The sequence below is a fragment of the Homo sapiens genome, chromosome 11 (assembly GCF_000001405.40).
Source record: "Homo sapiens chromosome 11, GRCh38.p14 Primary Assembly".
Taxonomy (NCBI): domain Eukaryota; kingdom Metazoa; phylum Chordata; class Mammalia; order Primates; family Hominidae; genus Homo; species Homo sapiens.
Window position 1 is genome coordinate 130400960 of NC_000011.10, and position 27762 is coordinate 130428721.

Here is a 27762-nt window from a genome sequence, read left to right on the forward strand (position 1 = left end):
TTCCAGTGTCCAAAAACCCTTTCAACTATTTTTTTTCTTCCCTTTCTTAGAAACAGGAAGTTGTGTTTGGCTGCGGACAAACTCTCTCAGTGCCCCTGGGACTTACAAGATGTTTGGAATGAGGAACGGTGAGGTCTGGGGAAGGCTTCTTTCCTCTCTCCTTTCCTGGGGCGATTCGCATCTGCCAGGGCTGGGCTGGGCAGCTCTGGGGGCTGGAAGGCCAGCCGGAACCTTCCTGTCTCTTTCTACTGAGCCCCAGGCCTGAGGGAAAGTATGTTCTAAAGAGACAGGTGGCTTTCTTGCTCTCTGCTTGTCATTACGGTTCAGAATGCACTTGTGCACTGGTGTCATGTCTCTTCCCAGTACTTGAGCAGTGGCTGTGATGAGTCCCTTGATCTATTTCAGGGGGTGTGGGCTGGCCGGCACTCAGTTTTAAGCAAGTCCTGCTCTTTCCAAAGTGGAAGGTCAGAAAAACTCCCCACCTGAAGAAGAACGAGCCAGGGAAGTGTGGTACCAGCTGTTTAGGACCACACCTATTGGTTACGTCTGGCCAGGTCATTCTGCAGTGTTGACCTGGAAAGCACACAGGTGCTTAGGAGGGGCTGGCCAGGGGCAGGGAAAGTGTGGGAGTCACAGCCCACCCACTCCGTTCGCGGGACCCTCCAGTTTTTACTGTTGCTCGTTGTGTTCTCCTGTGTTGTTTAGAATGTTGTCATATGTACGGTCAATACAACCACAGTATTTGTCGCATTAGTGATCACCAACATTGAGCCAATGAAGACGCTGGCTTAGATGGGTGACTTCTTCTTTCCCACATTCCACATGCAGCTCTCCCAATGCGAGCTCAGCGGAGGCCCCCAGAAAAACGTGGGGAGGAGAGTTTTCCCCATAAGACAGACTGTCCTTCAGCCCCGGCCACCAAAGAGGAGTAACCCGGGCCTGCTGTTCTCTGGGACTGAATGCGGCTGCATCCTTCCCTTCCTCTGCTTCCTGTCCCGGTACTTACTGACGGTGCACATGCGGGGCTTGGGGAAGCTGAGTGTCTAACCGCGGTGCAGCTACGGATGGGAAATTCTGGGCAGGGACGAGCCTGTCTTCACCTGAGGAATTCCCTCCCACATCACACAGGGCAGAGTGGGAGTGGAGGAGGGCAGAGGACACGTCTCAGGGCCAGTAACCTAGGCTTATAGAAGACGTCATCACCGTCCTCATGATGTTCACCCCGTCTCCTGTTTTTTGGGGCCATGTGTTCCGAAATGTAGCTTCAACTCATCATAGGGGCAAAAAGAAGTGATGAGTCTGTGGCAGCAGAAATCTGGGAATCCAAGGGTCGTGCTACATCTAGTCCTCTTTGATAAATTCTGCCTTCCTGTTCACATTTTTCGAGAAACCATTTTGAATTCCCAAACAGCAAAGGAAATGCTGCAGGTTCCTGGAGGGACCTGGTGATCTGGGGCAGAGCACACGGAGTCGAGATTGCTGCGGGGTTCACGAGCCTCCCCTCCTGGGACCAGGGGCACCTGGGCAGGGTAGTCTGCACCACGCAGGAAAGCCCAGTACACGCAGCTGCTCAACGCTGCAGACGCCATAGCGCAGGGCTGACAAGGCCTCCCTCTTTATCTGCCCTGGACCACAAGTGGAAAATATCAAGACAAAGCAAAAGCCAGTATCCCTTAAGAACTTTCCAATTGTTCTTGTCATTTGTAGTTTTGTTTTTTGGGGGGTGTGGGGAGGGAGGGGTGGTTTGAAACAACTCCGGAGCACACTCCAGAGGAAAACAGGAAGGGTGACATGTTTGGACACCAGAAAAGAGGAAGAGTCCTCACTAAGAGGGTGACTTGGTTAAAAAGTTCAAGCACAAAGGATGTAGAAGCAGGTGGATGTCATCAGAGAACAGATGCGGATCTAGTGAGATGGGTCCTACCACCCCTGGAATATGTTCCTGGGAGAGGGGTGGTCTGCTAGAGTGGACTGGGAATAGTAATATTGCATACTTTTGTAAATTCACAAAACCCTCTGATCTGTGATAGAGGAATAAAGGGCAGAGGATAAACCCCAGATAAAGATTCACTTATCTTAAAAATGAAAGGTTGGAAATTAACTTTATGCTACTGTACCACCTTCGAAGTATTTCTGGCAGGTGCCTGGAGGATTCAGATTAATGACCAAATTACCTGCCAAGTCAGGGCCTCCCATTAGAAGAGAGTACCAGTTTCCATTAGGAGCACTAGCTGGAAAACACAATCTTTCAGCAGAGGAAATACAGTCTTCTCTCCTTCTCTGGGTGCACAGAGTGGTCGTGGTTGGCTGGGGCAGATAATGGTGTGGTCTTCCTCTGCAGATCTGGTTTCTGAGTCCCTGGGCTGCAGCTGTTGAATTTCCAGACACAAACAAGTATGCGTTCTGAGAGCCTCGCCGAGCCCACACAACCGGGAGAGCCAAGCTGGATTCCATTCTGCTTTGCACATCAGCAGCTCTGCTGCCAGCTGAACTCCAGGGCAAAAGCTGTGCCTGGTAATGATGCAGGCAGCAGGGATGGCACAGCTGGCCTGGCTTAGGCCGTTAAGGGGGACACGCTTGGCCTTATTTGGGGGAGAGCGAGAAATGGAAGGCGATGAAGAGTTGCGGAAGCATACATCAGCCTCCACAAAACTGGTGCACAGCAGGGAAACAATCTGGTTTTGCTAGTCATCAACAACATGCCTGTGTGTGTGCCTGTTTATGCTTAGGTAAGCCCAGCCTCCCACTCGCTGAAAAGAGTAGGCAGACAAGAAGGAGTGACCAACTCTGAGTCAGCTGTCATCGTGTAGAGAGCAGCTAAGGGGAACAGTGGGGCTGGAATCTCATGGCCTTGCCTAGTGCCCCTACAGCATCCTCTCTGCCCATGGTGCCAGATATCTGAATGGGAGGACAAAGGGGGCACAGGTGGTGAAAAAAACCAAGATGCACATTTGGGTATTTTCCTTCTTTTGCTAGAATGTCATTTCTTGATGTCTGTTTCTTGTCACCCATTTGTGATCAGGGACTAAGTAAGTTCCCTCTGCACCAGACCAGGTGGAAGACTGAGCCAGAGTTCCTCTGAGCCACAGGAGAGATGAGGAGCTATGGAGCGGAGTAGGGGCTGAGGATCTGGTGCCCCCAGCTAAACTAAAAGGAGGCAGGCAGCATGTAAGAGGATGATGGGGTAGCTCACAGAGAGGAAGGGGATATTCTTTCTCAAGAATGATGAGCCCAAAGGCATCGCATAACAATTGTGATCTCCCAGCTGGACGTTTCCTGTAGCACAGGTGTTCACAGTGTGGCTCCCAAACCAGCAGCCTCCATGTCAGTCACTGGGAACTTGTTAGAAATGCAGATTCTCAGGCCACCCCAACCATTAGATCAGAAACTCTGGGGATGGGGCCCCACAATCTGTGTTTTCTTTTCTTTCTTTCTTTCTTTTTTTTTTTTTTTGAGACAGGGTCTCACTGTGTCATCCAGGCTGGAGTGCAGTGGCATGAAAATGGCTCACTGCAGCCTCAACCTCCTGGGCTCAAGTGACCCTCCCACCTCAGCCTCCTGAGTAGCTGGGACTACAGGCCTGTACCACCATGACCGACTGATTTCGTTTTTTAATTTTTTATAGAAACAGGGTCTCGCCATATTGTCATGGCTGGTCTTGAACTCCTGGGCTCAGGCAATCCTCCTGCCTCAGCCTCCCAAAGTGCTGGAATGACAGGTGTGAGCCACTGTGCCCAGCCTCACAATCCATTTTCACAGCCCTCTACGTGATCCTAATGAAACCTTGGGAACCACTGGTCTAGATCCTGCAAATGAAAGTTGCCCGAATGAGCTGGATTCTGCAGGCCTGTGAGGACCCAGAGCAGGCAGGGATCCAGCTGCTGACCTAGTTTCAGCCTCCATCCCTGGGTTCTAGGTTGCTGCCCTTTCCAAAGAAACAATGAATCAGACCAGACCACTGCATTGGCATAAGATCACACTTTAGTTCAGAGACACATTTGCATAAATACTTGAAATGGATCCACCCCTGCAGGTGGCAGCCTGAGAACATGTGGCTCTCCAAACCCTGCGACGCTGCGGCCCTTTAGGTGATGGATTTTAACACTGAAGACAGTCGTGGTCATTCTTGAAGACAGCTTGGGGTCCAGCTTTGGAGCCTGCTTTGACATTCACCATTGACTCCCTGCCCCACGCCTCTCTTGTACTAATTTTTTCCCCTGTGAGGTAGATTATTTATCGGGGAAACCAGATAGAATTTTTTTTTTCATTTAAGTTTGCTAGTCCTTTGCAAACAGACTGACGCTGAGTGTCCTGTCTGAGTCAATAAGTGCACTTTTACCTTTTAACCTATGCCCTCTACTTGAACCCGAGCAAGGTCCAGTCCACTGGACAGTTGATGATAGGGTCTGCCGCCCCATACCCTCTCCTCTTCCCCCTTAGGAATTTGTGCAGTACTGGAGGGGTTGCGGCAATGGGAGGCCTGGGTGGGCCGTGCTGCCTTGATATGGCCAAGGGACCCAGTCACCACAGTGGAGACCCTTGTCTGCACCTCAGTACCGCATGTCCAGGAGCACAAGACTGGCCCCTGCCCCCCTGAATCACAGGGGGCACAGCTGGCTTTCGCAGGGCTTGGCATCCTCGGGTTTCAGAGCCTTGTTGCAGGTGGCAGAGGCCTGGCCGGAGGGGTCCCTGCACTCTACAGTTCGCCTCTGCCAGCCGGCCCCGCAGGTGCTAGAGCACTCAGACCAGTCCCCCAGCACCCACTGTGCGTGGAGCAGCGGCTGGATGATGTTGGTGGTTGCTCTCTCTTTGCTGCTCTGCATGCTAAAGTCCACGTCATTAGGAACAAAGAAGGTGTATTTGACTTTTGGGGGGAAGACCTCGCCAGGGACTGTCAGGAGCTGCACTGTCAGAGGCTCTGGCAAGGGCCGGAAGCTCTGCAGGCGCTCCAGGGTGGCGATGGAGCCGCTGTACTTCAGGATGGTCCCCTTCACCAAGATGTCCTGCTCTATGGCAGAGATGGCCAGGTTGCCGTTGAGCAGGTACTGCCCATCAGCCGTCTTCAGCGCCAGGTAGTTCCCATCGTTCTGCACACCCGGGTGGCTCCGCTGCTTCACGTCAATATTAGTGGCACCAGCTGGGATGGTGACAATGTCATTGTAGCCATAACTGTGATAGAAACAGAAGGACACCCTTAGACCAGTGGCTGCCCAGCCCAGGTCACGATGATGCCTTGGAGACTGAAGTGGGCACCCCAGGTGGCAGACACGAAAAAAACAAAGCAAGTAATTAAGCAAGTTGCCTCAAAGTTCTCAATAAATTAGCTGTTTAGGCAGACAGAAATGTCTGTACATTGGGATTTTCAAGGGTGTTTGCTTCATCTGGCAACTCTATTTCAAAAGTGTGGTTGAGGAGTTGAGGTATGTGGGTGTTGAGAACAGCATAGAGACGAGGAGAACCCAGAAGGATGTGGAAAGCTGCACTGGTGTAGCCAAACCTGGCACCTGTCAAATGTGATCTCAAATACCTCTAGCTCCTTGCACTGGTATACAACTTTGATTGGCCACCTCCATACCCAGAGCTCAAACCCACATGGAAAAAACTGTTCCACACACCCCTTCCAGAACGTGAACAGGAGGGAAATTTCACACCACCTCTCTGAGTCAGTCGGCTCCTAGTATTTGATGAATATGGCCCTAGGGTGGGATCAGGGTGGGGTTGGGAGTTGGGGGTTTAAGCCTGCTTCTTTGAAGCCACCTTCTGGGAGTGCCCAGGCACCATGAGCACTGTGCTTCTGGAATGATAGGAAGCAGTTTTGGGAAACTGTTTCCAGTCCATTATAGGCTTAGGGCTTTAGGTAGGATGAAGAAAGATTAGTTGTTTGTTCTTTTCTGGAAATCTGGGTTCCATAGGCTGGGGAGAAAGTGAGGCGAGTGGTCAGGCGGGCTTTTTGCTTTTCTTACCATATGTCCAGCTGGGGCTAGCTGCTTAGTTTCAGACTCTTAGAGTGTCCACAGGCCCATCTGTCTAAAGCCTGAGGGAAAGTGGCCAAGGGACCCAGTATCTGAATAGTGTCTGCTTCTCTTTTTCTATGTCTTTTGAGCTTAAATGTAAAAAGAGTTCCAAGGCAGGGCGCAGTGGCTCATACCCACAATCCCAGCACTTTGGGAGGCCAAGGCGGGCGGATCACTTGATGCCAGGAGTTCAAGACCAGCCTGGCCAACATGACGAAACCCAGTCTCTACTAAAAATACAAAAATTAGCTGGGTGTGGTGGTGCATGCCTGTAATCCCAGCTACCTGGGAAGCTGAGGCAGGAGAATTGCTTGAACCTGGGAAGCAGGTTGCAGTGAGCCAAGATCGTGCCACCGCACTCCAGCCTAGGCAACAGAGTGAGACTCTGTCTCAAAATAATAAAAATAAATTAAAAAAAATGAAAACAGTCCCAAGTTGCCTGCTGTAGGCTGATTCTGTTCTCTCAGACTGGTGAGATGAGAGATGTAGAGACAGACAGACAGACAGACAGACACACACACACACACAGAATGGGGCAGGGTTTGCGAGCTTCACTAGGTAGAATACAATACAGTGAACACTTCTCAAAAACTCTGAGACCGTGAGTGGGGGAAGTGGCTGGACAGGTGGATGCTCACATAAGCCCTAGGACACATTGATGTACTGGAGGCAGACAGGCAGAGTGTGGCCCATATAAAACACCCGAACTTGCCCTTACTCTGCAGGAAGTACATGGAATGGGAGACAAAAGTCATCCAGGACTTAGGAAAACTAGGTTCTCTTCTGGCTGTCATTAACCATCAATGTGACCTTAGAAAAGTCATTTAATCTTTCTGTGCCTTAATTTCTTCCTCTGCAAAATGAGGAATAGTATTGGCCTTGCTCACCTCATGGACTTATTTTACAAATCAAATGAGACCATGGAAATGAAAGCGCTTTGGAAAATCCTTGGAGTTTTATGAATGTGGGGCATTAGGATGAGAAAAAAGTGTCTGGAGTTCTCAGATTCATGAAAGCCCTGAGGCTGCCAGGGCCCCTTTTTGGTAACCCCCTTCTCTGAAGATCCATCTGCAGAAAGGACAGGGGCTTGCCAGGCTTAGGGTGAGACGTCCTTCCCAAAACAGGCCTGGGAGAGCTGTTTTCTGGCAGAGGTCCAGGTTACTCAGTGTGGCTCGATTGACTCAGAGATGACAGCTCCCTATCCACATGGCCTCCAGCCCTCGTAAAAGTCACGGCTGCCCTGTGTTCTATCTTTTCTATGAGCTCGACACTGCCAAGTGCACATCCCATCTCAGGAAATCCTTACAACGACTCTGAGATAGAGATACTGCTGACATTTTACAAAGAAACTGAAGCTCGGAGAGTTTAAATAACTTGCCCAACCCTCACAGCTATTAAGTAGCAGCCACAGTTCAATTTGGGCCTAGCAGAGTGCAAAGCCCATTATGCTCTTCTACCAAGCAAGGTACAGAACTTCTGGGGAGACTCACTTGGTGGGGGTGAGGGACCCGGAGACCTTCCTGCAGGAGTTGCCTTTGCCCCCACACACCCCGCATTTGTCCAGCTTCCGAGGCGAGTCCACCACATGGTCACAGCCGGCCTTGACACACTGGCCACGGACACAGATGGCCAGTGTTTCTGGCCCACACAGGGTGCCATCAATCACCTGCAACGGGGAAAGGGAAGGTGAGGGAGGGCGTGTTGAGCACAGAAGCAGCCTGCCGGGGGGCGGGGGTGTGGGGACAGGCGACCTTCCTCCCCATCTCTGGATCTGAGTCCCAGGGTGATTCTCACCTTGGCCTCGAACACTTTGAACTCGCTCCTCCCCCGGGCTCGGCAGAACAACTTGCAGCGGTCCCGGGGGGACACCCCAGCATACTTGGGGACCCACTGCAGGAGATTCCCGTCCATGTCAGTGTAATTGTAGGCATTATACTTCTCACACTGCTGCTCCCTGAAGCTTTTCCCTAGAAAGAGGAAGAAACGGCATGGAGGTGACACCCATGCGGAAGCAGGAGCATCCGGTGGAGAAATCCCGAATTTACAGCACTTTTCTTCTTTCTTTTGGTTTTGAACTCAACCCAGGCGCCCAGGGCCAGTGTCTTCTGGGCACAACATTCCTAGACGCATGTGTGACCCTTACTCAAAAGGGCAAGGAAAGGAGCCTCCAGCCGCATGCTGGGCTTTCTAGGATAAATGCCCTTTCCATTAGGGAAAGAGACTCATTGTACTCTACAGGTGAATAAACGCAGGGAGCAACAGGGAACAATTCAGTAAGCTTGGAAGGCACAGAATGGCATGTGGAGCTATATTCTCAGGACACTACTAATTGTGCAGTATCGATTTCCTCAGTGACACCGGACATGAATCCAAAGACTCCTAAATCTACATGTCTAGCTCTGATCTTGCCCCTACACCCACATTCCGTAATTCTGGGTGTCCCTGGGGAGCTCCGTTTGTATGTACTGTGATTACCTCCAACTCAGCATGGCCAAGCTCCCGATGGTCCTTCCACGAACTGTCTTGACTTTCATTTGCTGATCTTACCATGCCCAAGTCTGAGACTGGTATCCTGGTATCTCCCGAACATTTGAGCATCTCTATCTGCTATTTCCAAACTGTCACAAAGACCCACACTATATTCAGGACAATCTGTGATTTAAAACGATGGCATCCCACTCTCACCACCACAAGCCCAGGCCTGCTGGCTTCATGGGGACCTGTGCCTGCCTCCTCTCCATCCTGCCACGTGCTGCTGCCAGACCAACCCATCTGAAGTTAGATGTGGGTTGCTTTCCACCCCCAAATCCTAAAATTAAAGCTGTTCTTCCTGCCAAGGTTCCCTGCCCAAACTGTGCATCTGAATGCCTGGGGAGACTTTGCCAAGGCAGATGCCATACTCCACGCCTGAGACTCTGAGTCAGTGCAGCTGAGGGGGTCTGGGCTGTGTCTGCAGGAGCTTCCAGGTGACTTAATGGGACAGGTGGCACAGATAACTCCCAGATACTGTGTCAGCCTTCAAGGACCTCTGTGGTCTGGCCTTGACATAGTGGTGTGCTTTGCTTGATTCCACCTAAGTGAATGAGGGCCCTTCTCACACCTTTCCACCACCCTGGCAGGTCCCCTCACACCTCACCCATCTCAGTCCTCCAGACTCTGCTCAGTCCTAACTCCTTTCAAAGCTTCCGCTCACCCAGCCTTTCCTTTCTCCGAGCGCCTCACCAACCTAGGGTCTGTGACTCATCCATTGAAATGTAATGGCTGTGTTAAAGGGATTTGGGTCTCTAATTGGACTACAAGCTCCTTAGGGACAGAGACCATGCCTTTTACATTTTCATACATTTTTATAGTTCTAGACACACAAAAAATACTAAAAAATACTCGACAGTAATGGCAGACTTTGGTGCATCTGACATCATGGCATCACTTTTCGTCCACACCTACCTTGCACCCTATATTCATTCTCATCCTCCCCCTTTCCCAGCAACGTCTCACCCTGTATGCCAGGCAAACTCTCATACAATTCCAGGGCAAAGTTTCTAGAGCCTCAAACCATTGTGGATCCTTCTTGTCTTGTGAAACCGCAAAGCCTACAGATTCTCCTGAGACATCAACCCAATGCCAGTGTCTTTTCCCGTGGTTGAATCTCTCCTAAGGCTCTGCCTGATTTTTCTTGCCTGCCAATCCTTCCTGGAGCTGCACACTGGGCAGTTGGATGGGATGGTGGGGAAAAACCTTGTAATGATTTCCCTCTCACGAGTTTGCTGCTGCCCCTTTACTGCCTCTAAGTTAATGTTCATGGTTTCCAGCAGGTACTGGGGATAGGAATATGCCAAGGGGAGGGAGAGGTAGTATTCCTTCCTGGGAAGATTCTGTCAAACAGTTGCCATGTTCCCAAGGGAAGATGGGCAACTCTTCTCAGAAGGAATGTGAACAGGAATCAGATTCAGAAATCCTCCCTCTGCCCTGGGCTGAATTTTGGCTAGAAAGACCTTGGAGGTTTGGCTCTGACACTTGCTTTGGAAAATGCTTCCATTCTGCACACAGATGAGGGTTCCTATGCCTCCAGGAGGATTAGTTTCCTAGACACCAGCCCCTCTGCAGAGGCTCCTCCCCAATAAGTTTGGTTGGGAGTGATGTCCTCCTCTCCACATCTTGGAAGATGAGCGTAATTTCTCTCCTTGACTTTGCCAGGCTCTCTGAACACTATGAGAGCTGTCCCGGGTCCCTGAGAGCTGCCCCTGGGATTGGAACCTTGCAGAGCCCATTTAGGTGGAGATCACAGGCAAAACTCTACATCCCAGGAGACCCAATTTACTCCCCTCTGGGAGTAACTCTATATCCCGGGACACCCACTTCACTCCCACTTTACACATCCTCTGGGGATGCGTCATAGCAATGATAGTAGCTGCTCTGGCAGGGGCGGCCCTGAGTGGTAATTACCGTCAGGGGGGCATTCCTCCGTGTGGCATGACTGGTACTTGGCTCTCCGACCCAGGCAGTATCTTCCTCCATTCTGAGGCTCGGGGTCCTTGCACTCACGGTGTGAAAACTGTACTCCTCCTCCACAGGTCCGAGAACATTCTCCCCAGGGTCCCCACGGTGCCCAGCCTCCATCTGCCACGGGCTGCAACATACAATGGCACACTGAATGAGGAGCAAAGGCCAGGAGGCTTCAGTATCTGTGTCACTGGGTGGCCAATGCCCTGGCTTCCTCATCTAGTCATTATCATCTTGGTGCATGGAGTGCCGTAAACTGCCTCAATCATTTGTTTAATGACTGTGTGGCCTGCATGGCTTTGTGAGCACAGAGACCAGGCTGGACTCATTCACTACTGACTCCTCAGTGTCTAAAACAGTGCCTTATGCTTAGTAAGGTGCTCAATAGGCTATCTGCTGAATGAATGAATGACACCCTTTTATGGGAATAAGGTTGCATATAATGCAGTGGTTCTCCGTTGGGGCGAATTCTGCCCTCCAGGGGACATTTGGCAATGTCTGGAGATACTCTGGTGGCTACAGCTGTGGAGGGTGTACGTGACCACATCTAGTGGGTAGAGGCCAGTGATGCTGCTCCACATCCAGCAATGCACAGGCCCCACGGTAACAATTATCCAGTCCTAAGTGTCCCTAGTGCCAAGGCAGAGGAACTCTGGTCTAAAGGAAACATCCCTGCGAGGTGTTGCCATAGTCTACCAGCCACTGGTTCTGGTGATAGGACAATGCTTGGGAAAGAAACAGAATTGCTTCCTTTTTTTTTGACAGAGTTTTGCTCTGTTGCCAAGGCTGGAGTTCAAAGGCGTGATCTCGGCTCACTGCAACCTCCGCCTCCTGGGTTCAAATGATTCCTGTGCCTCGGCCTCCCGAATAACTGGGATTACAGGTGCACACCTCCACGCCTGGCTAATTTTTGTATTTTTAGTAGAGATGGGGTTTCACCATGTTGGCCATGCTGGTCTTGAACTCCTGACCTCAAGTGATCAACCTGCCTCGGCCTCCCAAAGTACTGGGATTACAAGTGTGAGCCACCATGCCTGGCCCTGCTTCCCATTTTACAACTGACCTATGAGAACAAAGCTTTGCCCTTTGGAATGCTGTATGCCCAAAGGTTCATAGAGTATTCAAAATGAAAATAATTTTTTAAAAGTTATAAAAGTAATAGTTGCTCATACGACAAATAAAAAAATGCAGAAAAGTGTAAAAAAGAAATTAACACTTCTTTAAAACACCACTACCCAGATAAAACCATTAACATGATTTTCACCAATATTTTTCATACTTTTGCTCTGAATATATCATCATAAAAATGCAATGCTTTTATTTTACAAAAGATATGATTCTATGTATATATTCTTTCTGTCTTTCTCACTTTCTTTCTACCTCTCTTTCTCTCTTTCTTTCTCACTTTCTTTCTTTCTTGAAAGTCTTGCTCTGTCGCCCAGGCCAGAGTGCAGTGGTATGATCTTGGCTCACTGCAACTGCCGCCTCCTGGGTTCAAGTGATTCTCCTGTCTTGGCCTCTGGAGTAGCTGGGATTATAGGCACCTGCCACCACACTTGGCTAATTGTTGTATTTTTAGTAGAGACAGGGTTTCACCATGTTGGTGAGGCTGGTCTCGAACTCCTGACCTCAGGTGATCCACCCGCCTCGGCCTCCCAAAGTGCTGGGATTACAGCACCTGGCCTGATTCTATAAATATGTATTTTCTGATCTGACTTCTTAAAAATAGAGGCCACACATCATTCCATGATCATTTCACGTCAACCTCTCCCTGCACTTAGCTCGGCTGTGCTCTGGGATTGGTGGCAGATCCCTCTGCTCTCCCCTCAATAACATGTGATGAGAATGAACAGGGTGAATGGGAGGTGGCTGAGGATCAGTCCATGAATCCTGCACCAGCTCAGGCTTAGGACAAGAGTACAGAGCTTACCTGGTGCAGGCGGGCTCCCAAGGCTCAGTGCAAAAGACATGCACTGAGGAGTGCTTGGGCCACCCTGGCGATTCAGCGCTGGCGGGGACCGGGCTGTGAAACCCAGTGGATGCTGTTTCATAGTGATGGCTCCATGAGTCACAGTAAGAGAAATGCGATCAGCCTCACAGTTTGGATGTATTCAGAGCAGGGCAAAGAAGTGAATCATTTAAAAACCCTCACTGGCACTGCCTTGGTTTTTCTTGTGAGTTTACTCTCTCCTGGGCCAAGTTTTTTTCTGCCTGGCCAGAGGCAGCTCTGAATCTGTCTCCTCTCCTCCTCTTTGAATACGGAATTCCCACAACTGCTCTCATTCTCCCAACCTGTAATTATGCATTCAGTTCAAGCACGGGCAGGCTATGAATACTTTTCACTCAATTCTTGATGGAATTTATTCCGCGTGTCTCTGTGTTCATGACGGAATTGACAGTGGCTCCATCTGTTGTGTGCTCACCTTCCTGTCTCCACCCCGCTCACCAATCTGCACCTGCACCAGCCCTGAGGCAGCCCCAAAGCAGCTCCCTAATGTCTGGAGCCACGGCAGTGTCAACCCACTGACCGAGGGGATAGCCTTCACGGGCTCCTCACCGTGTGGATAAATATGCTTTGGTTTGTTTGTTAAAAGATGAGTGATTTTACCTAGAAGTCCTATGTTGCAGCCTGGCCCGAAGTTTCTTTTCTTTTTTTTTTTTTTTTTTGGAGACAGGGTCTCCCTCTGTTGCCCAGGCTAGAGTGCAGTGGCATGATCATGGTTCACTGCAGCCTCAAACTCCTGAGATCAAGTGATCTCCCTGCCTCCGCCTTCTGAGTAGCTGGGACTACAAGCGTGAGTCACCATGCCTGACCTATTTTTTATTTTTTTGTACAGACAGGATCTCACTATGTTGCCCAGGCTGGTCTCGGTGCAAGTGATCCTTCTGCCTCAGCTTCCCAAAGTGCTGGGATTCCAGTGTGAGCCGCTCTGCCTGGCTGTCTCTCGGTTCATGACTCTCAAGTGTGGTTTCCTTCTGGAGAACAGCCCTCAGTCCTCCCCATTTCCTTTTGTTTCTCCTTTCCCCTCCCCGCTATCCTCAGGGGCTGTCCCTCACCTTGGGCCTCTCCACTTCCTCCTCAGGTAGACAGCTGCCTTCTGAGCAGAGGTGCCCAGGCCCGCACGGCGTGCCGTCAGCCCAGGGCAGGCTGCCATTCTTCGTGTGGCACAGGGGCTCAGCCCCATCAGTGTGGCACCAAAGCTGGGCGCAGACGTCCTGAGCAGAGGTGTTGGGGCAGTGGCGGAAATCCGGCCCAAAGATCTGCCTGCACTGCTGGTCCAGCTGGTACAGGGCCATGCGGCCCGGGAGGCCTGTGGGGAGGGGCAGGGCCGCAGCAGGGGCATCCAGGAGACAGTCTCCTGGGAAAAGAGGAAGCAGGGGTGTAAGAACATGCACAGGGCTGCCGCCCTCTCAGCTCTTCATGGCCTGTGATGGATGGCACTGAAGGTCTAGGTGTCACGACTTCTTGACCTCCAACTAAAAGCTGTCACCACTTGATGATCTAGTGAGAGCATGCCTAATTTTTGACTATCAGTTGCAAACGCTCTTCAGGACCGACTTTCCTTTGCTGTCCTGAACATCTAGGAAGCATTGCCCCCGACATTCTGTGTACCCAGTGAATGCCAGCTAACACAATATTCATCCATATCACAACCTAACCGTGCTCCTGAAAGCCACAGCATGCAAATGAAGACCAAATAATGCTGTCTGGATCATCTTATTTTTGCATCATACATGTCCCTGTCTCCCTCAGTGAGAAGGATCTAGAATATTACTTTACCAACAATTCCAACCACTTAAAATTGTTTTTTCTTTAATCCCCTCTTCTGAGAAGCAATTTTTTTTTTGAGATGAAGTCTAGCTCTGTTGCCCAGGCTGGAGTGCAGTGGCTCGATCTCGGCTCACCGCAACCTCCACCTCCCGGGTTCAAGCGATTCTTCTGCCTCAGCCTCCTGAGTAGCTAGGACTACAGGCGTGTGCTACCACGCCTGGCTAATTTTTTGTATCTTTAGTAGAGATGGGGTTTCACCATGTTGGACGGGCTGGTCTCGAACTCCTGACCTTGTGATCCACCTGCCTCAGCCTCCCAAAGTGCTGGGATTACGGGCAGAAGCCACTGCACCTGGCCCTTTTTTTTTTTTTTTTTTTTAAAGAGATAGCGTCTCTCTCTGTCACCCAGGCTGGAGTCAGTGGCATGATCACAGCTTACTGGTAGCCTTGACCTCCTGGGCTCAAGTGATCCTCCTGCCTCAGCCTCCTGAGTATCTGGGACCACAGGTGTGCACCCCATGCCTGGCTCCAGTCCTTTGAACCAGCTCCCCGCCCTCTTGCTCTCACAGGACGCAGTCACTGCCTCTGTCACGCCTGAGCTGTTGTAGGTTCGTCTCTCCTCTGTGCTATGTGCTTCTATTCCTTCAAGCGCTGCTCAAACCCTCCTCCTTCAGACAACCTTCTCGGATGACTTCCCCCTGCCTTGTGACTAATCTAAATTAGCGCAGAACTCGGCTGCTGGAAGATGGGGCCAGAAGAGCAGACTTCGGGGGTGGTGTGAATGCCCCAGCGTGGGAGGCTGGCCGGGGACTCAGCTCTAAGGGCCCTGTGAGGAGGCACAGCTGGAGGGGGTCTCTGCGCCAGCACCAGTGGAAGGAGGCCCACGGGGACAAGTAGGGCGGGGCCGCCGGTGCCTACCGTGCCCGCCGTCCAGAAGCTCTGTGAGATACATGGCGCTGCAGGGGGACCAGGGCAGCGTCTGGTTCAGGTGGACGAACAGCGGTGCCATCACGTGGTGCTTGCCCATGGGCCCGAAGAGCCGTGTGCAGGGCTTGGAGTCGTCGTGGGGCATGCTGAGGACGTGCCCTGGGGAGAGAGGCCTGGTCCACTCCGCCCTGTCCTGCCTGAGGGCGCCCCACCTGGCCCAGCTAGGGACAGAGATGGAGCTCCTCAGGGGAGCAGCCACCCCCTCACTCTCCGAAGATTTCTGCGTAGGGCTTTCCCCTGCGCTTTGCTCTTCCAGGACGCGTTCTCAGATGACTAAGAAACACGGATACCCCTTTATTTTCTGCCTCAGCCCGTCCTGAATTTGGATCTAGCTCTGTTATTTGCCCTCTCACATGACAGTCCCTGGACCATTGTTCTTCCCCCAGATCCCACGGCTTAGCTTGTGCACAGCTCCACGCCTCCACCCCAGCACGTGTCTGGTGTCCTGTGTCCTGGCATTTGCCCGGTGACCTGTGATAATCGTGTGGGATGCTGCTTTTGTATTTTGGCCATGTGCTCGGGGTGGGAGCGGAGTTGTGTTCAGCACTGTCAAGCGCGGTATCTGTTTGTATACAGTCACCCTGTCAAAATTAGGAGGAGCTATTCCTAAGCAAGGGCCGCATATTCCTTAGGATCTACGCAACCTTGGATCTGGAAGAGCAGTTCCCTCCGATGTGGTGAAGTGGGCTTTGGCACAGCAAATCTTACCTAGTTCATGGGCCAGGGTGTGGGCCGCCTGGAGCCCCTCATCCTCGATCACGGAGCAGCTTTTGTTGGGGTCACAAATGGTCCCGATGTCTGCCACACCCAGGGTGTCACACAGCCCCTCCTGCCCACAGAAGTTCTGCGTGGCGGGGAGAGAGCAAGAGAGTGCATCAGTGTGTGTGTGGGGTGCGCTGCAGGCCTGCAGGGCCGGGTGTGGCCAGCGTGCACGTGGGAGTGGACCACTGAGCGTCCCATAACATGTTTGCTGGCCTGTGCATCACCTGCATTTATTGAGCTTTTAAATTAAATTAAATTATTATTATTATTATTATTATTTTGAGATGCAGTCTTGCTCTGTCATCCAGGCTGGAGTGCAGTGGCACGATCTCAGCTCACTGCATCCTCTGCTTATGGGGTTGAGGCGATTCTCCCACCTCAGCCTCCCAAGTAGTTAGGACTACAGGCGTGCACCACCACACCTGGCTAATTTTTGTATTTTTAGTAGAGACAGGGTTTCACCATGTTATCCAGGCTGGTCTCAAACTCCTGACCTCGGACAATCCGGCTCCTTCGGCCTCCCAAAGTGCTGGGATTACAGCCGTGAGCCACCGTGCCCGGCCTAAATTAAACTTTAGAGACGAGGTCTGGCTATGTTGCCCAGGCTGGAATGCAGTGGCTATTCACAGGAGTAATTGTAGCTCACTTAGCCTCAAACTCCTGGGCACAAGTGATTCTCTCACCTCAGCCTCCCAAGTAGCTGGGACTACAGCCGCTTGCCATGTGCCTGGCTGACCTTTTTTAAGGAGGAAGACGCAACAGCAGTTTCAACGTGTCTGGATATCCCACCTAGTGGCCTCGCTTTATTGGTTCTTTTTGTGTTTATGGTCAAGCCAGTTCACCCGTCCCCCATCTTTCTAAATTGGAGAGTAACCTGTGAAATTTCCTTTTGTTAAAAAATAAAAACAGTCTGTAATCTCAGCATTTTGAGAGGACGAGGCAGGTAGATTGCTTGAGTCCAGGAGCTGGAGACAAGGCTGGGCAATATAGTGAAACCCCATTCCTACAAAAAGCAAAAAAAAAAAAAAAAAAAAAAATTTAGCTGGGCAAGGTGCTTGCGCTTGTCATCTCAGCTACTCAGGAGGCTTGAGGTGGGTGGATCATTTGGACCTAGCAGGCAGAGGCTGCAGTGAGCTGTGATTGTGCCATTGAACTCCAGCCTGGGTGACAGAGCGAGACCTTGTCTCAAACAAAACAAAACAAAATTAAAAACCAAAAAGAATATAAAATACAAAGGCTATCAAGATGGATTTCTGAGTGATAAGATCGGGAAATCTCTGTCTGTCTTCACATCAGCCATTCATGTAAGGGAGCCTGTTCTATGTTACAGGCTGGCTGTATCCTAGGGCTGGCTGCATCCTAGGGCTGGCTGCATCCTAGGGCTGGCTGGGACTTCAAAGGCTTTTTGTGGGGACAGGACAGCACAGTCATTCAGAACATGACTCTACAGCAGCACTGTCTTGGCTGGACTATGGGCGCTGCCGCTATGTGGCACGAGAGCTGTGTGGCCACTCTGTGCCTCAGTTTTCTCTGTTACAAAATGGGGATAACACCAGGGCCTGCCCGATGGGGCCCTTATGAGACTGAAGGAGCAGACAGGGCCTGGCACACAGGATCGCTCTCTTGCTTTCAGGAAGCTGTCTGTTTAAGTCATGCCGTGTAGGTGGGCAGCCCTCCTGCTGTGGGCAGATCTTGAGGGGACCCCCTGGCTACCTGCCCCTGTGTTTTACAACCACTGCAGCTAGAACTACTCTCTTCATTCCAAGCCCAGATCTCTCACTGGGCAGCTTGAGCCCATTTCTTCTTGTTATGTGTGACCTCAGGAGACAGCTGGTCACAAACTTTTGGAAGAGAGCCCTTACAAGATTCTTCTCCTTCCCTTGCAAATACCTCACACTTGTCCTCATGACCTCCTCATCATTCTGGGCATGAGGCTCTGGCGTCCAGCTGGGGCCAGCAGGGAGACGTTTCCCATGTTTGGGCAGGCCTCGTGGTCCTCCCTTTGATCTGCCCATCCTGTCTCCCTTCCTCCCCAGGGCTTCCGGAGCCAGGCACGGACCTGTCTGGTGAGCAGGATGGCCGTGTCGTAGTGCTCTGGGTGGCGGTCGCTGGGCTGGTTGAAACGCCGCTGCCAGTTGCAGAAGTTACGCAGTGTAAGCCCCCCATTGTCGGACACCTCTGGGCCCCATTTTTCATCTTCTACGATCAGCACTTTTACCACCATCAGGTTGATGGAATTCTTGATGCTGGGGTGCTTGTAGATTCGGGCTGCCACAGACATTAACGTCAGGATGTGGTTCTGTCAGGAAGGAGGAGACAAGAGGCGGAGTGAAGGGTTAAGTCTCAGGGCCCTTGGCCTGGCCTGTCCGCTGCCATCACCTCTTGTTATGGGGCTGAGCATCAGATTCCTACCAAAGCCTCACAATACCCCCGAGGTCTCCGTGTTACTCCCTTCATTTTGCATGTGAGAAAACAGGCTCAAGAACCTGCACGAGGTCACAAAGCTGATGCATGAACAGTGGTCTTTGAACCCAGACCTGCCTTGCTCCGAACTTGTGTGTCTAACATCCAGGACAGCTTCAGGGGACGACCTAAATCCAAATTCATTAAAATCCAAAACCTTAAACTTATAGCGTGGCACAGGCCACATTTCTAGTGCTTCAATAGTCATATATGGCTCGTGGCTACTGCACTGGAATGTGCAGATACAAAGTTCTACTGGACGGCATGGCTTATTCTGCCTTAATCCTGACACCGTCTCCTTGCCAACCACCCCCACCCGTCCCCGGCCTCAGCCCAGAAGCAAAGTTCTGAGCGCTCAAGGTTAGTAGAATTCCCTCTTAGAATCCAGCTGAACATTTTCCTGTTGTCTATTGGGGTAACTCTACTCTTTGGGGGGGGATTTGTTAACACTGAAAACTTTGCTGTGATAATCACTCCTAACAACAGCTACTCTGCCACAGTACCTCATTCAATTCTCACAATAACTCTGTGAAGAAGGTGCTGTAATTCCATTTCACGAATGAGGAAGGTCATGCAAATTAACCTGTTGAAGGTCACGCAGCTATTGAAACCAGGAGGCCAGCCCAGGTGTGCCTGTCTCTGAGGTCCACCGTGCTCTCATTAGGTTTCCCCGGGCGTGGCTTCCTGGTGTCTGCCTGGACAGCCCCGAAGGGTTCGTTCCCTCCTGACTGGGGCTTGAGAGGATCCCGTGGGCCTAAGAGGACCCATGTGCTTGGGATCTCACCTGCTCTCCCTTCCACCCAGGCTGGCCAACAGAGCATACATCACTGCTTGGCCTCTGTCTTGTCCCTGGGCTGCCAACTGCTCCCCTGCTGGATTCCAAGGCTTGGAGAGAAGGCCAGATGGGAACTCGCTCTCCTGCCTCAGCGACCCCTTGAAGTGGCCCTCTTTGAGCATTTTGTGGAAGAGGAGACACAGAGGCAGAGGTGGGTGTTCCTTGAGCCTGGAGTGTGGTCAGTTGGGCAGCACCTGCTTGCCCTGCCTCTCCGATCCCTAGATCACCACCTCTTGGGATCCCCTCTTCCTCTCCTCCTGTGGTCTGGAAGGTGGGAGTGGAAGGAGGAGAAAGGAAAGGGTAGAGAGGGACATTCCATCGGGTGAGGCCATGTGTGGGCGTTCCAGATGAATCCCATTATTTGTGAATGGGATCTGTCTGTTCACCTCACAGGCAATGAGCCAGGTATTTTGTTAGCCCTACAAGCAGGGGTTGGCAGGTTACTTGGCGTGTCAAGCACTCCAGCAATGTTTAGGCTGATGTAAACATCTTATCAACAAGGCTGAAACTTGGCACTTGCTCCTGGAGTTGGATTCTGGAGGGACAAAAAGCAATCACATCATTATGCAACCGGGGGTGAGCGCTGAGGAATGGTGGCTTGCCGAGATGAACTCCTGGCCGGGTCTTTGCTGCTTCCAGGAGGCCAACAGTATCCTGATCTCTCTAAGAAGGACCAGGGTCTGATGGGCCAGGGACCAACCCCTGGAATTTCTTCTGAGGCAAACTGCAACCGTCATCACAAGATTTCTTCCCGCTGAGTCCCAGTTTCACAATCTCAAAATGGGGAAGATGAGGTCGCACAAGGAAGGTGTAAAGCTAAGGAACACCAGCTGCTAAGCTTCGGGGCCGAGACAGCTCAGCACAAGGAGCTAAAGACAGGAGGTTGGGGCAAGTCTGTGTGCCCACGTTGAGCAGATCGGAGGGAGGCTGAGTGAGAGATGAGGCAGTGCTCACATCCTCAGTGAAGACCGGAGGAAGGTGAGGGTTAACCCCTGATTTTCATGCAGAATAAACTGCTGCTTGAAGATCAGGGCAAGACAGCACAAGGAGCTTCCCGGCCCTAAGGTTCCCAGGGAGCCTCCTTCTCTACAGCTCATATCATTGTCTTCTCCAGACAGTGCATAGCTGTCAGGCAGGGCCGGCTTCAGAGCCATTTAGCTTCGAGGGGTGGGCTGGACTTGAGGACATCTGAAGGTCCTTCTGGCCGCTGTCTCAGAAGATACTTTTCATTTTCAAGAAGGCTAGGAGGATTCTGTGGTCCAGTGTTCCCTTCAAAATCCCAGATCCCGATCCCACTGATCTCTCCTTATCTCTTGTTCTACTGAGTTTTTGGTTTTCCCCTCCCAGTCCGCTCTTCTGAGAAATGACCAGAGGAATGCCTTATATATGCGGTGCGTCTCACAGTTCCCTACGGAGAAGGACCACTGAGCCTGGGTGAGGTGGGGGACCTCAGGGCTGTGAGCCTTTGATTCTCCCCCAATATCCTGGGTTCAAAGGACAGGCCTGACTGAGAGTCCTGTGGGGATCAGGCCTGCGGCTGGTCAAGGAGGAAGTCAGATGGCTTGCTCCACCACCTGGTGCCGATTTACACCTCCCTGCTCCCCACACCAATGCAAGCTGCATGTGAAGAATGTGAACGGGGTCCTGGCCCCCCTGAGGAGCAGAGGCATCAGCAGAGCAGCCGCCCCCCAAACCACGGCAGGTAGGTGGGAGCCCACGGTCAGCCCAGCCAGGGTGGTCAAACAACCTGCTCTTGAATGACTTGGGGATCCCATACTCTTCACTTTTGTTAGGGAGAGGCGGCACTTTTTAGGGAGTCTGCTCGTGCATGAGTGACCCCAGGACCTGGAGTAGAGATGAACATCAGGCCAGTCAGGGTGGCTCATGTCTGTAACCCCAGCACTTTGGAAGGCCAAGGTGGGAGAATCACTTGAGACCAGCCTGGGAAACATAGTGAGATCCTGTCTCTATTAAAAAAAAATGAATTAAAAAAAAATAACAACACCCTGGCCAGTTGGGTGGGCCAGAGCCCCTTTTGGTTCTTTGAGATACGAACAAGGAGATTCCTTCCTCAGAGCTTCTGTGGTAGCCGAAGCCAGCTGCGGTGGGTGATGGGGACGGGCCGGCCTCCTCCCGCCCCGATGTCATCATTACATCCAGCCGGTTTGCGCTTCACCGGTGGCTCCACAGCTTTCCCTTGCGGCGCGCCTGGGGGGAGGTCAGGTGAGGAAAAGTGGCCCCGGGAAGCTCTTGCATTCCCTCTTCCTATCTGACGTCTCTAGGGCCTGAGACTGAGCTGGGGGTGTGGAGATGGAGAAGCAAAGCGAGAGGAAAGAAGTGAGAGGAGAAAAGAGCAACCTGCATCATATGCTTCATCTCCTCTTGTTCTGCAAGCAGCAAAGAGCAATGTTGTCCCTTGAAAGCATACGCTGACGCTGAACTACAAGTCAGCCTTCACCACTGAGCATGGGCAACTGAAAGAGAAGGTTCCTCTGCCATGTGGAACAGCAAAGCTGAAACAGCGGTGGCCGGCACTCTGATGGCATGGCCCAGCCCATCCTCCCCACTCTAACAAATGGTTTCCATCACCGAAGGCAACTCTAGTAATAGCCATGCCTTGCTGAGTATGTCGTCTGGACCAGGCACCAGGTCAGGTGCATTCCATATTTTCTTACATCCTCAAGACAAGGCTAGGACATTGGTATAACTGCTCCTACCTGAAATAATCGAGGTACACAGAAATAGGTGACTTGCTCAAGGACACTACATTATTTCGATTTCATTCCAAAGTTTGTGTTCTTAGTCTCTGTACTAACTGCCACCCATCTTTGCTGCTGTAAGGAAAACTGCAGCCTAGCCAAAGTGAACCCAAGGCTTGCAAGCAGCAAGTCCGCCTGTCATTGCCTATGCACACCCCACCTCCTGGGAGATGGGGAAGGGGCGATCTTTGGACACTGAGACATTTTCTTTGGGAAATACTCCATATCTTTGATCATTCTGACTGCAGCAGACATAAGGGATGGAAAAGATGCATTCTTTTGCCAATGGGAAGGACATCACGCACATATAACACTTGTCTTTCTCCCTGGTAGCCACAGAGCAGGGGGGGGCATGAATCTGTTTCTGTTGTCATCCAAACCAGGACACCCTTGAGAGGGAAAGACGGTAGTATTAATAATTATGCCAGAACAGGCAGAAACTGGGATGCTGCTGGACAACCTAGGCTGCATGCCCACTTTAGTGTCTTGTGGAAGACATTTTCCCCACAGCATGCAGGTAAGGGGGCATGGAGATGGCTGTGACAGCCGTCCCTGAAGTCAGTCCCCAGAATCTGACCTCCTGCGAGTGTTCTGCTGGACTTTGGGAAGATGAGCGCCACTTTTCGGACCCTCTCTGCTAAGAAGAGGACTCGAAAACTCTGCTCACTGCAGAAGCACTGGCGGGACAGGCGTCCCAGGCTGGCGAGAGTGGGCACTGCCATGCTGCCCCTCACTCCATCTCGCCCCGGGTTCACACAGGGGACACTGAGCAGCAGCTGGACGTAGACAGAGCTAATGGAGTCTTCCCAGGTGGTCCCTCCTTTCAGAAAGGCCCCTCTGTCTGAGCTCCTTAACTCTGAAACCAGATAAGAAGGTGGGAGACAGGGGCCCCTTTTCTCATGGGATTAAATGAACTCAATTGACAGAGCTCTGGAAAACTTCATTGTCGCGTAACATAGTGAGACCAGCTTTGGCAGTGGTGCGTTCTTTCTCTCAGCCTCCACGGCGGTTTCTTTGCAGGATAGGGCCTCACAGTGGGCCTGGATGGCTTTGAACTGCTGGATTTAAAGACCCACTCCCACAACATAAGCAAGTATCAGAGGGTCGACAGAGCCACAGACCCTAGTCCTGAGAAAGAGGCCGCCTGGTGGGATAACAGTGCACAGGATTCAGCTTTGGGAGACTTGGTCTGCAGGCCCAGCCCTGCCACTTACTGATCCTGATCGGTGCTGTCTGATCCTGAGGAAGCCACATGTCCTCTGTGAGCTGTGCAGTCTCCCTCTGCCCCCCTCACTGGTATTTTCATGGAGGTGATGTGTGTAAAACCACGCTGTGAATTGAACACGCTCAGAGAGTGGCTAAACCTTCCAGAAGACTGGCTCATCATGAAGCAGCCACACAGGTGCTCAGACCGGGATTGATCACCTAGTCCAGGTGTCCTGCTTCACAGATGAGGAACTCTAAGCCCTAGAGAGGTAAAGGCTCTTCTCATCCTCCACACCCCTGATTACCAAGAGTAATCACCCCAGAGTGCCTTCCCTCTGTGTGAATGAGGTCTCCACATAAAGGACTGGCTTCCATTTGCAGGAGGTGGGTGTGGGCAGCCAAGGTCTTGAGGCACGGGAACTTGATTTTCATTCTTCTCTCAGCTGGGCTCATGGATCTGTTTTCGGAAGCGCAGGGGACTGAGCTGAGACAGTCACGCCTGTCCTGCAGCATCTCCAAGGCTGGTCAGCTCATCATAGCACAGGGGCCCGAGGGTGGTCCTGGACACAGCTGTACCTCAGTCCCTCCCCCACCCGCCACGGTGGCAGCAGGAGCACAGGTGGGATGGGACATGAGACCCAGGGTGGAGGTGGCGGGGCTAGTCTCCCTGAGGGAAGACTTTTCTTCCAGGTGAGACTCAGAAGTCAACCCCCTAGGGAGAGGAACTCAGCCTTCAGAGGTGCCCGATGCCTGTTTTGCTGCGCTCTCCTGGTCCAGGTGGGCTGGCTGGGTGTGCAGGTGCCAATGTGCAGCTGGGAAAGGTCCAGAAATGCGTGTTTGTGGGGGATGGGGAGCGGGGCAAGCAGGAGCCACATCGCCCGGTCAGGAGTCTCATGAGGATGGCAATGCCTGGGTGTCTCTGACACAGAGAAAGCCGAATTGTCTGGGGCAGCAGACCTGAACTTTAAGCTGAAGGGAACAAAATCGGGTGCAAACCCAAGCAGAGTCTCCTGCTTCAGCAGCCCGGGCATCCTGGGGTCGGGCCTCAGAGCATGTCTGCCTCTAGATAGCTAGGATGTCTGGAGATGCGAGTATGTCCCTGAGGCAAATACTCAGTTATCTCCAGCGTCCAGGTGATCAGCTGAGAGAGTGAGACAGTCTGGCCCTGAAGGCTGAAAAATGGACTTTCTCTGCTGGCACGGAGTTCTCTTGGCTTTCCTATGTTTTGGTTCTTAGGTAGATGTCAGAATCTGTTCCATGTGTGGGGGTAGAGGGGTGTAGCACCCCGCTCTGGGTTTGCAATGGGTGCATCTTAGCTTCTTACTTTTTTTGTGTTTTTCTTTTTTCTTTTTTTTTTTTTTTAAGATGGAGTCTTGCTCTGTCACCCAGGCTGGAGTGCAGTGGCGCGGTCTCCGCTCACTGCAAGCTCTGCCTCCTGAGTTGACACCATTCTCCTGCCTCAGCCTCCCGAGTAGCTGGGACTACAGGCGCCCACCACCACGCCTGGCTATTTTTTTTGTATTTTTAGTAGAGACGGGGTTTCACCGTGTTAGCCAGGATGGTCTTGATCTCCTGAGCTTGCGATCTGCCCACCTCGGCCTCCTAAAGTGCTGGGATTACAGGCTTGAGCCACCGTGCCCGGCCATCTTAGCTTCTTTCTGGTGGAGCCCCCTAGGAGCCAGGTGTGGGGGTCCTAAAGAGATGGGAGAAGCCCTCTTCTCACCCCTCTCCTGCCACACTCTCTAGTACTTGCTTAAAGAAAGGAGTCAGAGGAGAGGGCTGGTGCTCCCACCGCTCCGTGCTCTCAGGACAGGCAGGGAAACAGGTGTTAAATCAGCGTGACCCAAAGCTGCTCTGCCCTGCTTTTGGGGAAGCAAATACCACAAGGGCTTGCAGGGGTGCGTCCCTGGGGTGTAGTCAGCACCTGCAGTAGCCAGAGGGGCAGCCACGTGGACTCTCACCCACAGCAGTTCCCATCCTAATCATCTGTTTCTCCCTGGGTCTTTCCTACCCTGCCTTTCCCAGTGATAGAGGGTGGGAAAGATGGGGTGAGAAACAGAAGGCTGATCGCCTCCTTGTCTGGACTATTCTGCACAGGCAATGCCTATGCCCTTGGGGCCCCCAGCAGTCGGGCACAGACTGAGCCTAGTATTGGGTCCCGGCCAAGGATGCCATCACCACAAAGTGTCAGCTTAGCTGCTGCATTGCCAGGATCCCTGTTTCAGGGAACTATGACGTCTGGGCAGGTCAGTTCTTCCTTCCCTGGCACATCTCTGGTTCTGTGCTCCCTAGGGGCAAAGAGCACCCCTCTTCTGGAAGCCTTACCCTCTTTTCCTCCTGGAAAAGCCTTCACCTGGTCTTTAGGGGAGAAATTGGGGTTTAGGGCAACACAGACACCTCCTGCTGAGTCAGCACCATCTTTGCATCTAGTTAGAAATGGTCTGGTTAGGTAGCCATCCCCTGGACTCTGTTTTTCTCCCCTGTTTAGGTAAGAGCTGTGTCTGGGCTAAGGGCAGCTGGGTGGACCAAGTGTGGGTCTGGCTTTACTAGAGACATTCACCCAAAGAGCTCGTTCCAGCCCCTGCGCCCCTCGCGTTTCCACCAAAGCTTCAGCTCCTGGGCTGAGCCCCCAGGCAGAAGTTCTCTGCCCCTCCCTCTTGTGCTGGCTGCTGGCATTGCCAAGTTCTGCCGGGGCTGAGCGCCAGGTTGGCAAGGTAGTCCATGCCCCATTGATCACAACCAGCTGGCTGCACAGAAGTTGGGCAGCCCCTCTCCAGGTTCAGCTCCTTTCAAACAATGTCTTTTGCTTATGGCGACCTCCATACCCAAGGGAATCAGACAGCCATCTCTCTCCATCCCATCTGCCTTTCCCTGGGAGCCTCTCAGATCTGGAGGCAGTAGAGGGCTGAGGGGTGGGAGTGGGAGCTATTCGTAAACGCTCAATTTTCATCTCTGCTGGGAGAGGCAGGTGCCGGGGAATGCGTTGATACCCACTTTCGGGTCAGTGCGCCACGTGCCGCGGGAGATTCGGATGAGAGGGATGGGCGTCGGCAGCCCCACTCTAAACTGGAAGGGACCTGGGGGTGGGGGCGCAGGGATCCAGGGTGGCAGAAGTTCAGAAAAGAGTTACTGCTCTTTCTCAGACAGGAGAGAATCTCGTTTGGGGTAAGGCTGGAGAAGATGAGTGGGGAGGGCTTTTTTTTTTTTTTTTTTTTTTTCTCAGAGGGATTGGAAGGGGAGATTTTAGAGACGCTGGGAGGCGTCTGGGGGGCCTCCGGGCACGGCGGCTGGAGGAGGCTCTCAGTCCTACCTGCAGGTCGGCCCCGTAGAAGGCAGCCATGGACGCATCGGCCACCAGCAGCGTCTCCACGAAGCGCGCCTCAGACACAAACCGCTTGGTCCTACTCGTGGCCCCCAGGGGCGGTGGCGGCTCGCTAGCGCCTTCTGCCTCCTCTTCTTGGCTCTCCTCCTCGCTGTCCTCCTGGTGGTCTCCTCTCTCCTGCCTCTGACCCTCTCCCGTCTCCACCTCCCACTCGGGTCCTCGCGGGAGGGGGCGGGCTCCGGCGGGACCCCAGCGCTGCAGGCGGTGCGGCTGAGCCAGGGAGCCCCCCGCGCCCTGCGGCTGGATGGTGAACTCCTCGCCGTCCAGCAGGAAGGAGCCGCTCAGCCCGCGGCACAGGCTGACCGCCGCCAGCGACTCGGGCTCCCCATTCACGGTGCCGGAGAAGAAGCAGCCGCGCAGCCCCCGCTCGCCCCCGGTCGCCCGGCCGGAGCCCCCGAGGCGCTCGATCTTGAACTCGGGCGCTAGGAAGCTGTCGTCGGGCGCCAGGCGCAGCACGAAGCCCTTGCCGAAGGCGGACAGGTGGAGCGCGAGCTCGCCCGCGCTGCCGGGCAACCGCGTGGGCACCACCAGCTCCGAGGCCTGCCCCCCGGCTGCGGGCCGGGCCGGGGCGCCGCGGGCCAGCGGCAGCAGCAGCAGCAGCAGCAGCAGGAGCGGAGGCCACCGGGGGGCGGCGGGGGCGGGGAGCATGGGGGCTGCGGCGGTGGCTGCGCGCAGGAGAGGGAAGAAGCCCGCCAGGCGCGGGCAGGTGCTGGCGGCCCGAGCGCGGCCCGGCCGCTCTCTCCAGGAAAAGCGGAATCAATCGGGTGCAAGGCCGACTCGGCCCGCGGGGCCCGGCGGCGGGAGCGCTCCCCCGGCGGCCCCTCTGGCTGGCGCAGCCCGCTCCTCCCGCGCCGCCGCCCCCGAGCCGAGCGCGAGCAGCTGGCCCCGGCCCGCGTGCGCCCGTCCTCCGCCCCTGCCCGCGCCAGCCCCGCGCAGCCGCCTCCTGCCTCCTCCCCACCCCGGGAAGCACCGAGTGGGCTGCCGAGCCCTTCTTATTTATACTTCCTTCCCGGCTTGACATAAGAGGTTTATTTTTGATCTCTCACTATTCCCGTTTCCCCTCCCCTGGGATCAGAGAGAGAA

At 53.0% G+C, this 27762-nt stretch overlaps 1 protein-coding gene and 1 long non-coding RNA gene across 3 annotated transcripts in view, besides 1 other annotated feature; one reads left to right on the forward strand and one right to left on the reverse strand.

Moving 5' to 3' along the window:
• Positions 1-2698, forward strand: part of ZBTB44-DT (ZBTB44 divergent transcript) — an 88665-nt gene extending 85967 nt beyond the window's left edge. The window contains exons 6-7 of the long non-coding RNA NR_148980.1: positions 51-128; positions 2342-2698. This is a non-coding gene — a long non-coding RNA (ZBTB44 divergent transcript). The remainder of the gene's footprint in view (positions 1-50; positions 129-2341) is intronic.
• ADAMTS8 (ADAM metallopeptidase with thrombospondin type 1 motif 8) lies at positions 3964-27650 on the reverse strand. Of its 2 annotated transcripts, none has more exons than XM_017017145.2 (9): positions 26608-27650; positions 18094-18333; positions 15981-16116; positions 15204-15371; positions 13572-13825; positions 10458-10641; positions 7809-7981; positions 7505-7680; positions 3964-5169 (listed from the first exon to the last, which is right to left on the reverse strand). In XM_017017145.2, exons 1-9 carry the CDS (start codon positions 27325-27327, stop codon positions 4599-4601), a joined length of 2622 nt encoding a protein of 873 aa, XP_016872634.1. In that variant the 5' UTR covers positions 27328-27650; the 3' UTR covers positions 3964-4598. The 2 variants fall into 2 exon arrangements, with proteins under 2 accessions (XP_016872634.1, NP_008968.4); NM_007037.6 differs by having other exon boundaries at positions 13572-13873.
• Positions 18793-19294: an enhancer, noted in NCBI's record as "H3K4me1 hESC enhancer chr11:130289647-130290148 (GRCh37/hg19 assembly coordinates)". NCBI's record gives its function as "activates a minimal SCP1, AML or CMV promoter by ChIP-STARR-seq in primed H9 embryonic stem cells {active_cell/tissue: H9 hESC(primed)}" and the evidence as "EXISTENCE:reporter gene assay evidence [ECO:0000049][PMID:30033119]".

What these genes read in the sequence shown, in the direction of transcription:
- ADAMTS8 (NM_007037.6), bottom strand. Translation starts at nt 27,327, where the DNA reads ATGCTCCCCGCCCCCGCCGCCCCCCGGTGGCCTCCGCTCCTGCTGCTG. An exon ending in GCTTCTGGACGGCGGGCACG is followed by an intron (nt 13,874 to 15,203) that starts GTAGGCACCGGC and finishes CTCTTTTCCCAG; the next exon opens with GAGACTGTCTCCTGGATGCC. An exon ending in GGAGGAATGCCCCCCTGACG is followed by an intron (nt 7,982 to 10,457) that starts GTAATTACCACT and finishes TCCTCTTTCTAG; the next exon opens with GGAAAAGCTTCAGGGAGCAG.